General features: G+C 41.3%; 1 protein-coding gene across 16 annotated transcripts in view; it reads left to right on the top strand.

Moving 5' to 3' along the window:
- Positions 1-17840, top strand: part of AOAH (acyloxyacyl hydrolase) — a 211554-nt gene that overhangs the window by 145773 nt on the left and 47941 nt on the right. For all 16 annotated transcript variants that reach the window (NM_001177507.2, XM_011515334.3, XM_017012102.3 and 13 more), the window contains one exon: positions 2066-2148. In NM_001177507.2, the coding sequence (NP_001170978.1) occupies positions 2066-2148 (83 nt within the window). The remainder of the gene's footprint in view (positions 1-2065; positions 2149-17840) is intronic.

Here is a 17840-nt window from a genome sequence, read left to right as displayed (position 1 = left end):
AAAGCAATCATTGATTAGTTGTCAATAGCTAAATCCTCTTCTAGAGTAGGAAGTGAACAGATAATGTCAAAGACTAACAATCAAGAAGTAGCCTTAAAAGTATGTTACTTAGAGATGAGGAGAAAAACATCAAAAGACCTAGTCAATTAAGGCTGGAATTAGTTGCCTATGGAAATGGAAAAATGGAGAGTGGAGGGAGGTGTGGGGTTGCTATTTATCATCACAAGTCTTATATACACACATAGGTAAGTTATTTGGTTCTGTGAGACTCACCACCTCAAGTCTTTGTTGATTTTAGCTTCTCAATTAGACTTCCTTTGGCTACTCTAATTCTCATTTCCTTTCTTCATAGAATTTAGAACTTTCTAGCATACTCTATCATTTGCTTTTTTATAATGTTTAGTTCTTTTATTGGCCTTTTCCTGTTGAAATATCAACAACACAGAAGCAGGGATCATGTATTTTAATTTTCCAATATAACTCAGTGCCTAGAATAATACTTGGAATGTAGCAGGTGCTCAATAAGCATCTATTAAGTAAATTACTTTTTAAACTATGTGCATGGGTAGCTTTGATTTTAAAAAATAAATACATTATTCATCTCAAAATTCTACTACAAAGCAAAAATCTCACACTTAAAATATTGCTCAGGCATCTTGGTCTTGTATTAAAAAACACTATCATTGGTTTTCTCAGACTTCAAAAAAGGGATACTATTTTCTATGCATCCTGAATGCCCAAACATAATATATGCTTACCTTTCTGAAGCACTGAGACAGTTGCCAAGCACTGTAATACAATTAGTAAGCTTTCATATAACACTTAATAATTGGTGATTGTATGTAAGGTTGTGAGATGTGAACTTATTATAATGAAAAGAAGATACAATACATTTGAAGATTACTCAAATATTTTGAGCTAAGTTATTATTTTTTAGTTTACATCTGGTCTTATTTCAAAGATTTTAGGAAGCCTATGAAAGTTTAGAGAACATAACATTTAATTACATTTAAACTAAATTTTGTTGCATTAATTAAACTACTTACATCTATATTAAGCGAAAGAAAATGAAAAATCAAAGATGAGACAAAAAGGAGCCAAGAAAATGAGTTAAAATATATATAATTATAGCCTGATACTGGTGTCAAATTTTTCCGTAAGCTCTGTGTTTATTAGTATTAGATTCAAGGAACAGAGATTCAACATATATGAGTTTATTTCTCTCACACAGAAAGGTTTAGAAAATGTGCAGTCTGGAATTGATATGGGAGCTCAACTCCACCCAGTTCTCAGGGATCCAGGCTCCTTCCAGCTCACCCCTCTGCCTTCTCAACGTCAACCTTATTCCCATAGTTTAAGATGGCAGCTTTCCTATTCTGGGCAGGAGACTGGAGAAAGGGTACAAAGAAGGAACCAGAATCACCATTCAATCATTTCCTAAGAAGCGTTACCAGAAATTGCCACTGGATAGTTCTGATCCCATCTCATCTCACCCAGAACTTAGTGATGTGCCACTCCTAGCTGCAAGAGAAGCTGGAAAACGCAATCCTCATTCTGGACAGACATGGGTCTTGCTAAAAATTCTATAAATTCTATTGTAGCAAAAATTCTATTGTAGTGCATGAAGGGAGAATAAAGCTGAAGGACAATAATAGTGTCAACCACAGCTTCATAGCAACCAAAAAAAAAAAAAAAAAGAAAGGCAACATGATCAGGTTCAAAATAACAGAGTCGGTAAAGGTGAGCAATTGCTCAAGAAATGTACAGCAGCTCTTGGTAAAAAGCATTTGAAAGGGATGACTCTGGAGGTCTTTGTACAAAAGAAAAAGTTTTATGTCTTCAACAGTATTCTTACGACACCCATACAACTCAATTTCATAGAACTGCTTCTCATAACAACTGCCAATATTACATTCACAGTTCAGAGAAAACTTGTCAGCAGAGATTTGATTTTTTGAGTTCATTTTAACCATATTTTTTTAAAAGCGTGATGTAAACATGGTTTGTTTAAACTTCTTTATGTGAGTATCCTGACCTTAAATATATACATATATATTTGTTTCAGAATTAAAGAAAAATCTATTTACCTTCGCTTATGGAAAAGAAACCACTGTAATCACAGGGACTACCAGAATATTTCAAGAAATGGTACGTAACTTTCCATTTAAGCCTTCATCAATGTTCCTGTAATGATTGAGTTTATTTCATAAGTACCTCAAAAGCTGAGATTCAGATAACAAGGATCACAGAATAAAATGAACGGTCTCCCTTCCAATGCCATTGCCCTTTCTGAAAGAAGGGCCCTGTGCTTAAAGCCATTTACCCACAGCAAAGGAGAACAAAAACAAGCTGCAGTCAAGGGGTTGACCAAGAGAGCAGATCATTCACCCAACAGCAAAGTTCTAGCAAGGCCAAGGCACAGGATGTTTGAGGCTCAGGAGGCAAGACCTAAATGAGCATTAGCAGAACAAGAGCTGAGAAAAATTAAGGTCATCGCAAAAGCTCTGCCCTCTCTGATGGTGCAAAGTCTCCCACGTTTCTGCTGGGGTTGGAGTTTTCAGTTTCACCTGTGTGGGTTTCAATCTTCCACCTTGGACCTGGAGGCGGTCTATTGCCACAAGATTCTGATGAAACTTCTGATTGATAAGCCATGGCCTGGCTAATGCCTAATGAATTGCCAAGGAATGTTTTGTAACACCATAATGCAGAGATGGTAAACAGTGTATGTGTTGCCACTCTGTCTTCCTAAGCCTGGGAAAGATATTGCTAATCAGCCTTGGCACTCTTGTCTGCTATGCTCAGATTCTGCCTCAGCAGTTCTCGAAACACAGCACGTCTGACAATCATCATCAACAAATTAGGCTTGGCACATGAAGTTAAACCTATTTGCCATCCCTGTGCTATCTCTAATTAACAAAAGATGTTGAGGAATTTTCCAAGCAACAAGCGTTTAAACTAAGTATGTGACCTACAAATAATGTATTTCTTATAATAAATATTCTATACAGAATAAATGCTCTCCTCTTCTAAGAACAATATAGATTTTTTTTACTAATAAAATAATTGCTGCCATTAACTGAGCTCTTACCAAGTGCTAAGAACACTTTATGTTTATTTCTGTTAATCCTTTCAACAACAGACATTGTAAGGCAAGTATTATTAAATTTCTTCAGTACTAATACTATTGATTGTAATAGCTCTAGGGAGTGTTGAGGGAGGGAAAAGGAAGGAAAAATTACAATGTTCCCATTGATTGCAGCATTCAACTCAATACCAAATGCGTTAAAATATACTTCTCAGAATTGGGCATTAAAATAATATTCACACCGTAGCAGCTGGGGAAATGGAGGCATGGAGAAACCAAGACTCTCTTCCTCAGCCACACAGATAGTAAGTTACAGAGGAGACACTTCTACCCACGTTGTCTCACTCCACTCAGATACCAACAAAGATAATACAGTCATTGGGCTATGATCCCAGATGATCTGCAGAAAGAGATCGGCCTCATCCCTCTGCAAGTTGAACACTATCAATAGTTAATGGACAGTTACAGTCAAATCTGGCCATGTGACTCATCACAGATACAAAGTGAACATCAGGTGTGTGGCTGCACTTTCTTTTTCCTTTAGTGACATACTGAAACAGCCCCCCAACACTGTCAAATACCCTCTGTCAATGAAGATTATAAAAAACAAAGCACAAAAAAAAAATCATCTGTGAGGAATATCATGCAGCCCTAGAAAATGATGGCTAAAAGTCAAATATATTTTTATTTGGAAAGACAAAACACTGCCGAAAGAAAAATCAGGATATAAAATTCAATCATACAGTTTAGTTTCTACCACATTTTTCAAAGAAAGGGAAAAAAAAGGTATACGTAGGAAAGATTGGTAGAAAATATAGAAAATCATTATGTTTGATAAATTACGAGTGATCGCTTTCATTTTTTTCCGCTTTTCTGTTTCCTGATGATTTTATTTGTATACAGAAATAACCTTTAAAAAACTCGACAGAAACTGAGTCTAGGAGTAGAACAGGGCTTGTCCAAGGTTCCATAGCCAAAGGTATGAGGTTAGGGTAAGACACTGAGTGATAGGATTCTGCCAGAAATGCAGGCTGCAGGCTGCTCTTTGTTACTTGTGACTCTAACCCAGCATTTCTCTTTCACAACACCCAGGTGTGCAAAGTCGACATCACTTTTCTACCCACAATAAATGTAGTGATCTTTCATAAAATCATAAAGACCAGAGTAAGATAATCCAAAAAGTATAACTAGGACACCTGATAGTAAATGGTTGTCCTTTTGCGATCTCCTGTCTTGACAACACTCCTTTAAAATTCAGATTGCAAAGATAAAAGGGGAGACAGGAGACAGGAAGAGAGCCTAATCGTGTCAAAATGTGCTCGAAGGCCGTGGCTTTTGTCAGACTTTTGTCTAATGAATAGATGCCGGGGAATAGGGGATATTTTCTTCCTTTTCTTTGAATTTGCAGTCCTTAGAAATGCATAAAATGTATACTTTGTCTAGTATTACTATCCTCGACTATTTTTCTAAGACTGTAATAGTAAAAAGATATTTTTTTAGTTTCTCAGTTACTCATTATTTAATGTTCTGGTTTTACTCTCCAGCCCCTCTTCCTATTTTCTCTTGTATTTCCTTGCTATGGACTTTCTTTTGATATTACGCAGCAATGTAACCTGACTACCCATGCTAAATTACTTCAATTACTCTCCAAGGTTTTTATTAGATATAGGAAAAGTCAGCTTTTCACTTTCTGCATATTTATGGGGCTACACTGATTTTTCAGAACCAGCAAGAGAGAAAGGGGAAAAAGGGAAGAGTTGAATAGAATAGTAAAGTGTTTCTTAAAAATTGGGTAGTAAGAATTAAAGAAACAGCTCCTATTTTCATCCTGATCCTTATGTAAGAGATCTCAAAAACGTCTATACATAACTCTGTCATGAACCCCAGTCAGTGATTATAACGCATTTTTTTATTTTTTTGAGACAGAGTCTCGCTCTGTCGCCCAGGCTGGAGTGCAGTGGTGCGATCTCAGCTCACTGCAACCTCCACCTCCTGGGTTCAAGCAATCCCCCTACCTCAGCCTCCCAAGTAGCTGGGATTACAGGCACATGCCACCACGCTCAGCTATTTTTTGTATTTTTAGTAGAGACAGGGTTTCACCATGTTGGCCAGACTGGTCTCAAACTCCTGACCTCTGGTGATCCACCAGCCTCGGCCTCCCAAAACGCTGGGGTTACAGGCGTGTGACTGTGCCTGACCCTATAACGCATTTTAAAATGGAGAATGGAGAAGTCATCTTTAATCCAGGGAATGATTCTCTGGTGCAGGGGTTAGGAATGGCAAGAGTGCTGCCAAATCTTTTTTGCAATCAACAGAGGAGGGGCTTGCAGTGGCTCTCAGAACTTCCTCGATACCAAAATGGCCTGAGTTGGGAGGCAGCCAGCACATGGAAGAGGGAAGGACCCAAGAACTGCAGAGCTGGCTGGCTCCTCTGGTCCTTCTCTAAGATGGAAAATAGGGCCCTGAAAACAGAGAGCAGAGCCCTTCCTCTCCTGATTGCCTCATATAATTGTCTCTTTTCCTTGGGGTATAAAGTAGACTGGTTTTGAATTTGGGTCCTGGAATTAGTGTGTGGCTTGGGCCAATCATTGAATGTCTCTTGCCTGTTTCTGCATCTGTAAAATGGGGATCATGGTTCATTGAGCACAGTTGCCAAAGGTGACCCTGGATCTCATTCAGGGTTGCCCAGACAACAAACCACCTTGAATGGGCCATCTTCCCCATCCTCCTGGGGGAGAGGCTGCACCCAAACTCAGTGGGATAAGGCAGTGCTGGAGATAGCTACCTTCTCATCTTTTGCAAACCCAGCTTTTCTCCATTAAAGCCAGTTATTTAAATTATGCCATGTGACATTTTGGAATTCATCACAAAACCTGGTGTGTGACTGACCAGATATGTCATACCTTGCACACAGGGATGGGAACGGTACATACCTGAGCTTCATGGGGCTGCTGAAGACTGAATGAGAAACACAGGGCTTCATAAATGTCCAGCATCAGGGTACCACTGACACAGTGTCGCTAATTCCACCTACCAACTGTATTATTATTTACTCAGTGGTTTTGAAAACCATTTGTTTTTTCTTTCTTTTCTTTCCTTTTTTTTTTTCTTTTTGTGACAGGGTCTCACTCTGTCACTCAGGCTGGAGCACAGTGGCGTGGTCATAGCTCACCATAACCTCAAACAACTGGGCTCAAGTGATCCTCCCACCTTAGCCTCCCAAGTCCTGGGACCACATGCATGTACCACCACACCTGACTATTTTTATTTTTTATTTTATTCATTTATTTATTTATTTTGGTAGAAACAGGGACCTTGCTATGTTGTCAAAGCTGGTCTTGAATTCTTGGGCTCAAGCAATCCTCTTGACTCAGCCTCCCTAAAAGCTGGGATTACAGGCATGAGCCACTGTGCCTGGCCCAATCATTTTTTTCAATGTCAAAAGATTTTTTGTTATTGTTAGCAATAATTTCATTTTTTATTTATTTTTTATTGCTGCATAATAGATGTACAGATCTTCAGGGTACATGTGATCATTTAATACATTCTTATAATCAAATCAGGGTAATTGGGATATCCATCACCTTAAATATTTATCTTTTCTGTATGCTAGGAACATTCTGATTATTCTCTTGTAGCTATTTTAAAATGTGCAATAGATTAATGTTAACTACAGTTGCCCTACTGGTCTATAGAACACCAGGTCATATTTCTTCTATCTATCTGTATATTTGTACCATTAATCAACTTCAAAAATTTTTAAGAGAAAGAAGTCGATTTGAAAAAAATAAAAATAAATTCAAAAGCTATATGTTAATAATAATAAGGCCTGTGGCTCCTAGATTTAGAGGGCAGCAGAAGGGCTCTAGGGTTGGATACCCAGATCCTAAGAGACAGCAGCAGGCAGGAGGGTAGCTGGGGGCAGCTGAATTGGCCTGGAGTATCAGGCAGAAAGAAGGGACTCCCTCTGCAAGGAAAAAGCTGGGCTAGGGACAGGAGTGAGAAGTGATGGAAGCTAAGATTGACATAAGTGAGCAGCAGCAGACAGACTCCTGAGAGGCAGGAGATGGCTGTAGCCTGGGGAGTGGGCTCAGGACTCCACTTGGGGAGGAACCAGGGGATAAGGATAGGAATTAACCAGGAGAGGAGACAGTGCTGAGGGCCAGGCAGCCAAAGAAGCCCTGAGGATGGTGGGGCTAAGGATTGGAAGGGGCTGGAGAGCAGCCTTGGCTGATTGAGCTGGGAGCTCTTGGATGTGCTGGGGGTGGAGGCTTAAGGTAGAGGAGAAGCAGATGAGGGGTTTCAGCCTCTCTCTAGCAAAAAATGCCCTCCCTTTGGGGGATAGACCATCAGCAAACGGCTCTGGCAGCACCCACCCAGCTGGGGAGACCCAGGGGGGCAAAAGTGGACCCTGAACTGTCTCCTACCCCTGTGCTGTATATTTCACTCTTTGAGACCTGGGCATTAATCCTGGGGGCCTCATTCTCAGCGAGGACTCAGTAAATACTAGACTTTATTCATCCCTCCCTGTCCTGTGTGATCTCATGCCCCTATGCCCAGCAGAATGGATTAGCCACTCCACCTGACTCAGCAGGCGAGCCCTTTGCTCACGCCTCTGTTATTGCACTTTCCTTGGTGTATGGTTCGTTATTTGCTTTAAGACTGATGTCCAGTCCCATGGGGAACAGAAGCCACATGGGGCCGATATTAGCTCAGCCTCTGCTTCGCATAGCAGGGACTTGTACATCTAAAACACTTTTTTTTAACCTAAATAAGTTAGGAGTCCCATTAAACCTTTGAGAAGAACTAAAGCACAAATTGTAATCCAACTGAATCCAGCTTGCCAACTGAAAAACCACCGTGGTGGGCAAAAACCACAATTGGCAAGATTATGTTTCATTTAAAATAAAGTGTAAGAACCACGACGAGATATCACCTCACACCAGTTAGAATGCTCACTATCGAAAAAGCAGAAGACAACAAACAGGATGTGGAGAAACTGGAACCTTTGTGCACTGTTGGTGGAAAGGCAAAGTGGTATAGCTGCTACGGAAAACAGTATGGAGGTTCCTCCAAAAATGAAAAATTAAACTACCAGATGATCCAGCAATCCCACTTCTGGGTATTTATCCAAAAGAATTGAGGATCTCAAAGAGATATGTGCACTCCTGTGTTCATGGAGGCATTCTTCGCAACAGCCAAGAGGTGGAAACGTTCATCAACAGATTAATGGATCAAGAAAATGTGGTCTCTGCATACACAGTGGAATACTATTCAGCCTTTAAAACAAAGGGCACTCTGAACATGCAATGACATGGATGGATCTTGAGGACATTATGCTAAGTGAAATAAGCCAGTCACAGAAGGACGAATACTGCCGGATTCCACTTACATGAGCCATCTAAGTAGTCAAACTCACAGAAGCAGAGAGTAGAATGGTGGTTGCCAGTAACTGGGAGAAGGGGAGGGAAATAGGGAGCTGATGTTCAACTGGTTTAAAATTTAAATTATGCAAGATGAATAAATCCTAGGGATCTGTTGTGTAACGTTGTGCCTAGAGATGATAGTACTGTATTGTGCGCTTAAAAATCTATTAAGAGAACAGTTACCATGTTAAGTGTTCTTACCACAATAAAACAAAAAAATAGATAAAAGACAAAAAATAAAATCAAGAGTAGAAGAAAAACAAATATTAAAGTGGTATAAAATATATTTTTAAGTAGGGGCTGGGCGCGGTGGTTCACGCCTATAATCCCAGCACTTTGGGAGGCCAAGGTGGGTGGATTACTTGAGGTCAGGAGTTTGAGACCAGCCTGGCCAGCATGGTGAAACCTCATCTCTACTAAAAAATAAAAAAAATTAGCCAGGCATGGTGGCAGGTGCCTGTAATCCCAGCTACTCAGGAGGCTGAGGCAGGAGAATCACTTAAACCCGGGAGGCGGAGGTTGCAGTGAGCTGAGATTATGCCATTGCACTCTGGCCTGGGCAGCAAGAGTGGAAACTCCATCTAAAAAATAGATAGATAGATAGATAGATAGATAGATAGATAGATAGATAGATAGATAGATATGTAAATCTGGTAGTTTTATATATATATATGTAAATCTGGTAGAAAGATAGACAGATAGATAGATAGATAGATAGATAGATAGATAGATAGATAGATTTTTTTAAGTAAATAAAAATCTGTAAGGCACATACCTCTAAAGTAAACAAGACTCATCTGCTTTTGAACAGAAACCAATCCCAGGTCTGAATTTGCATTGCGGCCACCCATGGCCTGCAGAGGAGAAGTCACTGAGATGCACACAGGCCCTCTTTACAGTTTCCAGACAAGACTTTCCTCACTTGGAATATAATGTCTTTTTCACTGGCAGCCTTCCTCATTTTGTTTTAGCAAGCTTAGCAAAACCTTTATATACACACCTCTTTGGGGTTGTTTTGTTTTCAGAAATTCAAAAGTGCCTAACGGCATGTTTTCCTGGGACCAGTCTTCTGTTCATACAGTGAGGGGCCTCCCCTCTCTGTTCGCCCACTTACAGGGAGGGCAGAGAGCAGAGGACTCACATGAAGTGTCTGGATATGAAAAAAAATAATTGAGAATTTTAACACTTCATGGAAGTGTCTGTGTTTACAGCCTCACCTGCCCCTCCTCCCATCCCCTTGTGCAGACCACCTTTGGTCTGGAACCTCATAGGCTGCCCCCCATCCCCAACCCACACTCTGAAAAAACCTCATCTTGCTTGTTCTCTTCTTTGGACTTTGGTTAAACCATCTGCAAAATGGGAGAGAATCTGGCAGACCTAGAGAAATTAGAAAAGGGGCACAATTCAGGCCAGCATATGCAATTTCATATTCAGGTCAGGAAGGCTAAGGAGAGAAGAAAGAGAAGGGGAGGGGAGAAGAGAAACGTGGGCAGAGAAGGGGTGAAGAAAGAGTTTCTGAAGGGGATTGAGGAGGGAGGCCCTGGAGCAGAATCAGAGTGAAGGGAAACCCCAGAAGAGAGGGGAACTGGGTGTGCATGGCAGTTATGCTATGAGCACAGCTCAGTACTCCCTCTGGATGATTGTTGGACTGTGTTTTCTCAACACAGCACTGCTCTGAGAATGAACCACAGGAGAAAGCAGGACAATGACTTAGGTGCCCAATGGGTCAGAAAGGCTTGCAAGAGTGAGGAACAGCTCCAGAGAGTTGACCAGGCCCTGGCTGTTGAGAGGCACCAAAATATTTCCCTGCAAAATGTGCCTTTTTGGCATAAGGATTATTTTGAGCTAAAGGCCATTGAGAACCAGCAGAGGCAAGGACAGTTCTTCTTTTATAAAGGAAATTTACATTTGTAAAAGGTATCTCCCGCTCCCTGTACCAGGAAGAGAAGGACTCTTAACACCTGTTATCAGTGGGGAAGGCACCTTACTCTTAAACTTAAATCTGCATAACAAACCTCATTAAACAACCCCTATTTACCATATTTTTCCTCCTTACCTTCCCATAACTTGCCTCCCCCACTCAGAAGCCCAAATCCCTTTTTCTTTAGCCTAAGATGATTTATATAAACCCAAGTTCTAACTGCCCCTTTGGGTTACACATCGTAGGATGGTCTCATGTGTACACGTGCAATGCACATATTAATAAACTTCTATTTCTTTTCTCTTGTGAATCTGCCTTTAGCCACTCTAATGTACAGGGCCCCAGCTGCAAAGCCTAAGCTGGGTAAAGGAAAGGATTCTTTTTCCTCCCCTACAGTGTCTAGCAGAAGGAGAGATGCCGCCTCTGGGAGATATCCTAACAAGAGTAGACGTGAGGGAGCAGTCCATCCTGCTGCTGACCTAAAGAAACCTGACGGAAAAAAATTGCTTCCTCAGTAGGCAAGAGAATTGTCAAAGGAACTTGCCCTGGGCACAAAAACACCACTATTCGGGCCTTACTCCAAGCCAGAGAGAACAGGTTGATGTCCTCACAGGCCCTAGACGGTTAATCATATGTTTTACCCACCAGTATTGCCAGGAACCATTGTTAAGGGCCCAATTCTCCAGGGCTATCCGTTAGCAGAATGTGTGAATTTAGCTGGAGAGTTGTTTCAGGTTGCTATTATTACTTTTATAGATTTTTAGCTAATACTAAGTATCTTCTCTAAGCCAGACACTCCGTTAAGTACTTTATATACTCCATCTTCATTTAATTCACAGAGCAACTCCATTTTACAGTTGAGGAAACTGAGGCTCACAAAGGTTAAGTAACTTGCCCAAGGTCCTTTAGCTTGTCAGGGGTATACCTTAAGCCCTGTCTGTCTCATACTAAAGGCCTTGCTCTCACCCATGCCATACTGTCCGCTATTTGGGTTCTGGCTTCTAAAATCACTATTCTGCTGCCTCAGACTGTTAGCAGCAGGGAATCCATATGAGCCTGCAGCAACCTCAATTCTTGCCTCCTCAGAAGAAAGAATTCGATTGGGGGCATTGGGCAGATGGAGAGAAAGAGACACGTTTTAGAGCAGGAGTGAAAATTTATTTAAGTTTTAGAGCAGTGGCCAGGCACGGTGGCTCACGCCTGTAATTCCAGCACTTTGAGAGGCCGAGGTGGGTGCATCACTTGAGATCAGGAGTTCAAGACCACCCTGGCCAACATGGTGAAGCCCCGTCTGTACTAAAAAAATACAAAAAATTAGACAGGCTTGGTGGTGCTTGCCTGTAATCCCAGCTATTCAGAGACTTAGCAGGAGAATCGCTGGAACCCGGGAGGCAGAAGTTGCAGTGAGCCGAGATCACTGCACGTATGCACAGTGGTCTGCCAGCCCTTGAGAGGGGGCTCTGCGCAGTGTGTTCACTGAAGTTACACGCATGCTTACGTGAGGCATTTTTCCCTTACTAGTCAAGTGGTCCTGGAGGAAGGTCATATATCAGTTACATGCCACCATGTTGCCTCTCAGTGTGCATGCTTGAGTCCACTCACCCGACTCCTGAGATCCTGTGGGGAAGCTGCTAATCACCAGCTTCAGGTGTTTTCTATCTATTGGGAGCTGGCTTTTCCCTGGTGCTGGCTGTGACCAATTATTATTTTAGAGAGATGGTCACCTGACATTCCTGGGGGCAGGAGGCCTCACCTGCCCCACTCATGTCTGACTAGCTACCTACTCTGACAAGACAGCAAACACCTGTTCTGGAGTATGATGAATGTCAGAATTAAATACCTGAACCCACGGAATCCAGCCCTCTGCCAGTCCTCATTATCAAAAGTGGCCTTCTTGAAAAGAGATAGAGGCAAAAAAAAAAAAAAAAAAGTTAAGGATGAAGAGACAAACTATAAATGAGTATTAATCCAGGCTTAGCTGAATTCAGTTACACGTAGAAGGACTTATTTTTATAACACAGTCCCCACCCCACCATGATCTCTATTATGGAACAAAATAGGTTTTGTACCTTTAACTAGCTAACTGAGCTTCTGCTATTGTATTCTTGCCAAAAATTGCATAACCTGAATGTAATCATGAGGAAACATAATACAAACAAAAATTGAGGAACATTTTACCAAAAAAAAAAAAAAAAGCCAGTATTACTTAAAAGCGTCAAGGTCATGAAAGACAAAGAAAGACTAAGCAATCAGTTTAGATTAAAAGGATACTAAGGAGATGTGATAGCTGAATACAGTTTGTGATCCTAAATTAGATCCTAGCCCAGAACACGGTCATTAGTGGAACAGTTAGTGAAATTTAAATAAGGTCTATAGATCAGGCAATAGTGTTATTGTGGATTTCATGATTGTCCTCATTGTTCTATAATTATTGAAGATGTTCACATTTGGCCAGGCACGGTGTCTCATGCCTGTAATCTCAACACATTGGGAAGCCGAAGCAGGTAGGATTGCATGTTCTCAGGAGTTCAAGACAAGTCTGCGCATAGCGAGATCCCTCTCTACTAAAAATTTAAATAAAAAAAAAAAATCAGCCAGTTGTGGTGGCACACACCTATAGTCCCAGCTACTCAGGAGGCTAAGGTGGAAGGATCACTTGAGCCCCAGAGGTAGAGCCTACAGTGAGCCGTGTTTGCGCCACTGCACCCCAACCTGAGCCACAAAGTGAGACCCTGTCTCAAAAAAAAAAAAAAGAGATGTTTACATATAGATAATCTGGGTGAAGGCATGTATAAATCCTTTGTTCTACTTTTGCAACTTTTTGGAAATCATTTCAAAATGAAAATTTTGAAGTAATTTTTTAAAAGCCGCAGAAAAGAGTATTGGAAAGAAGCAAAGAAGTCACCTTTGTCAAGCTCAAGCAGGCACTCAGTAAATATCTGGTGAGCCCAACTACTGGGTTGAGTATTTGGTTTCAACCCAAACCTTGAGAGGATAATGACAAAAATTATGTATAACAAACAATGAGGACATTTCTGTTTGCAGAGCCTTGATACAGAGTGGTGACAGCAACAGATGACAGAGGTGACAGAGACAGATTCTGGTACCAATTTTTGAGATGCTTCATATAAAAAGGCAAATGCTTATAGATATACTCAATGCCTAGAGCATCAAAACCTGCTGTTTCTCCTAAGGACAAAATGCATCTCCAAGATACAGTGTTTAATCACTAGAAACTTTTAAAAGAGAAAGAATTCAATATGACATATCTCATTTAGAAATCACTCTGTTATTACTCATGTATTTATTATTTATTATTCCCATTTTTAATACTTTCAAGGTTTTGAAATTTAAAGGTTCGTTAAATAATGGAGACATTCTGATTCAAATGGGACTATTTCTTAGGACTTACTCATGCAACTCTTCCTGGCTTACTGTTTCATGCAAACCATCTAGATAGGAGCAAGGCATGACAGTGATTGTAATGTGAAGAGTGTGCGCTTTTGATGCATCTGTTTTGTCAAGATTTTTATCCTGCACTGCTTGAAACAGCACAACTACAGAGGGAAAATTCAGAAGCAAATGCCTTACATGTTTTTAATGTCATTGGCAATGGCCAGGGCTCCTGAAGTCCTAGCGGGATGTCCTTTAAACAGATGTCTTTTGTTTAGGGCTTGAGATAAAGGACATCAGGGAAAGTTATCTGCTGCTTGTACTGATAGCTTGAGTGAGCTGTCATTTCTATCAGTTCCAAAGCATCCTGGGATGAGGCTTTTACCTCTGGTCTTCTCTTTCACTTTCCTTCTGCTCATTTTCCACTTGACTTTGCCCCACCACTCCCCTCCTCTCCTTTCTCTCCAATATTGCAATAGGTGCTAGAAATAGAAAGATGAGAAAGACAAAGCCCCCACCTTCAAGGAGATCATCATCAAATGGGAAACAAAGACAAAAAGGGAATCATTGTGTTTCTGGTGAAAGGGCAGTGAAATAAAGGCAAGTTGAGGCCTCTGGACATAAGAAGCACTTAACTCTGTCTGTAGAAGTAGGGGAAGACTTTACATACGAGTTAAAATTTGAGCTGAGAGCCCTGAAGAAATAAATAGGAATTCAAAAAGGACAGGGAGATGGTGACTCAGAGCTGGGAGGCTCTGAGGGGTAAACATCTTTGAGGAAGAGGGAGAGAGAAGTTGGACATGGCTGAAAGATATTTGTGGGGCTATGTCAGGCTTTGAAACTGGAGGCAGATCACAGCTACTGTGGGAAGGCTATTATTATGCATCCTTTTAAAAATCTATGTTTTAGAGAATCATTTAGCTGAAATTCAGAGCCACACTTGTGAATCTGAAAGCATTTACAGTAGTAGAAACTGCCACAACAAACAATTGTTAAGTGCCTACTATTTTGAGCTCAAGGTCAATAGAGTAGTCTCAATGTTTCTGCCTATTGCAAGCAAATATTTTTAGAGAAGAAAAAGAATTTAAATTTCTCATGATGGATTTTTTTAATGGATTGTACAAATCATTCTCCTGAAACTACCTCTAAATCATAAAAATAAAAGCAAAATCTGCAATATTTAAAATTCTAACTCGTGTTCAAAAATGTTAATAGATGTATTTTAGGACAGTGTATGATACAGTATTTTCCAAGAACTTTTCATACTCTTTTTAACAGATTCCAGTTTCTGGTTTCAAGTACAATGGAGTAAACATACCCCACCCTGTCTCTCCCACTGAAAATAGCTGTAAAACCTGGACAGAGTGTATGGAATAGCTGGAGCACTCTGGAAATTAAATAGCAGGCCAAGTGAAGAAGAAAATCAGAATTAGGGCCACCACCAAATGAGCAGTGAGGTTAGCATTATGCTATCCTCTGGTATCTTCCAACCTGGACTCAAGGCAGCCCAAAACCCAGAAGCAGCACAGACAGGTCACTTCAAGAAGAAACCCTCTAGTTCTCACTCTAGATCTGGGAAAGTGGTCTCCTGGCAGTGACAGCAGAAATAGTGGGGACATACAGGTGCCTAGAATTCCAAAGAGGTTTGAGGGAGACTGCCTCTTCACTGGAATAGTTGTGGTCCCAGGAAGGTGGGGCAAACTCCCATTGCCTTTTTTTTTTTTTTTTTTTTTTTTTTTTTTTTTTTTTGAGACGGAGTTTCATTCTTGTTGCACAGGCTGGAGTGCAGTGGCACGATCTCGGCTCACTGCAACCTCCGCCTTCTGGTTTCAAGTGATTCTCCTGCCTCAGCCTCCTGAGTAGCTGGGATTACAGGCGCCTGCCACCACGCCTGGCTAATTTTTGTATTTTTAGTAGAGATGGGGTTTCACCATGTTGGCCAGGTTGGTCTCGAACTCCTGACTTCATGATCTGCCTGCCTTGGCCTCCCAAAGTGCTGGGATTACAGGTGTGAGCCACCGCGTCTGGCCTGCCTTTTTTCTTATTCTGTTCTCCCATCACTTGGGGTTACCATGAGTGAATTTTTAGGAAGAGCACAGCAGAGTGGAGCACTAAAGCCCCGACTTTCTGGCTACAGGACCAAATTGCGGAGTCCAGGGAACCAAAAAGTACTAGAGAGATCATGGGAAGGGAGGATCTTTGGAAACCAACTCCGTAAAGGTGTTTCTGAATATGCATTTATGGAGGGATAACCAATGCTGGGATTATGTGAAACCTTTCTCTTCTTTCAATGCCCTGCACCTTATTTAAAAGAAACTGGATGAATCAGACTTAAAGGCCTGTGTGGACCCTTTTCTTCTCGTCATTGGAGACAGGTGGGCTCTCCATTTGGACCATCTTGACAAATAAATAAAATGTTCCTATTCCAAGGTCAAACCTCTTTCATTTCTCCAAACTATGATCGCAGGGATCAGAATATAGACTTCTTAAGGGTAAAGTGCCAGTTCTTGAAATGTTTGCCTTACTTTGCCACATCCCACAGGCTAGGAGCTATCTATCTTTTCTTGCTGCAGTCCGTATTTTCTCTAATGATAACAGCAGCAGCAACAGCAAGCAGCTGGGGAGAAGTCTATGTACAGGGGAAGAAAGACAATAGAGATGGGGAAGGAGAGAGACACAAAATGTTGATGAGTCTGGCAAAAGGATAACAAAACAACAGCAAAAGGAAATTAACAAGAAACAGTGACATGAGAATTGCATAAACTAATTACATAATCTCAAAAAACAGGTTTCTGAAGGGAAATAGAAATAGTGGAAGGCGCAAGAACTTTGGAGCAAAGAGAATTCTAGGCTCATAGTATGGACACCTACTATAAAAAATAGACATTTGGGTAAAGAAGAACAGACAAGTCCTCACTCCTTGGGTAGCTGTTTGTGATTGCTTTTCAAAAATTTTTCACAGCCAATTGCCGTTGGTCTCGCATCCTTGTCCTGAGTGGCAAAGGGACCCAGGGGTGTGAGCGCAGGAAGGGATGCTCATGTGGCATGTCACAACAGGCTTTCATTTTCATTTTCCTCAAGCTCTGTGGGTGTTCTGCACCTCAGATTCCCAGCTGTACCCTAGATAATGAAGACAAGTGTTGCTCTGACCTGGTCCTTTAATTATTTTTTCCCCACTTATGGCTTGAGCTTTCATTAGTTTTCATTTCTCATTAAGAGAAAAATAAAAGAATGAGAATTAAACATCTCCTGATCTATTATCTCACTGAAAATAAGAAGCCAGGAGTCACCGGACTGGAACTGAATGAAGGGCCCAGCCGATGCGTGTGCCACCGCAAGATCAACACAGCGCATGGGGGCTGTGCTCCTTCTCTTCTGTCCTCTGGAGGACAACAGGGAGCACTCACTCCCAGAAAGACTGGAGCCCTTGTACTGAGGACTCAGTGTTATGAAATCTGGCACCTTCCCTGAATAGAGATAATAGGCCTCAAATCAATTGGCTTTTCCTGTTTTCGAGCATTGGGGTTGGATTTTCACTAATCTCTTAAAATTGTCATCTGGGCATGGTGGCTCATGCCTGTAATCCCAGCACTTTGGGAGGCGAAGGCAGGTGGATTACCTGAGGTTAGGAGCTCAAGACCAGCCTGGGAAACATGATGAAACCCCATCTCTACTAAAAATACAAAAATTAGCTGGGCATGCTGGTGGGTGCTGGTAATCCCAGCTACATGGGAGGCTGAGGCAGGAGAATCCCTTGAACCTGGGAGGTGGAGGTTGCAGTGAGCCAAGATCCGCCACTGCACTCCAGCCTGGGGGATAGAGTGAGACTCCGTCTCAAAAAAAAAAAAAAAAAAAAGTTCCCAGTGCTCAATTATGTGTCTACCCCCATAGATACTATTCAGAAAGTATTGAGGCTGTGTCCACCTCATCTGTTAATCCCTGCTTTATGGCAGGCACATGCCAGTGCTCAAGAAATGGATGGAGTAGGTAAAGGAACAAAATGCACACAGAAATG

The sequence above is a fragment of the Homo sapiens genome, chromosome 7 (assembly GCF_000001405.40).
Source record: "Homo sapiens chromosome 7, GRCh38.p14 Primary Assembly".
Taxonomy (NCBI): Eukaryota; Metazoa; Chordata; class Mammalia; order Primates; family Hominidae; genus Homo; species Homo sapiens.
Note: the sequence above shows the minus strand (reverse complement) of the source record. Positions and strands in the feature narration are given on the sequence as shown.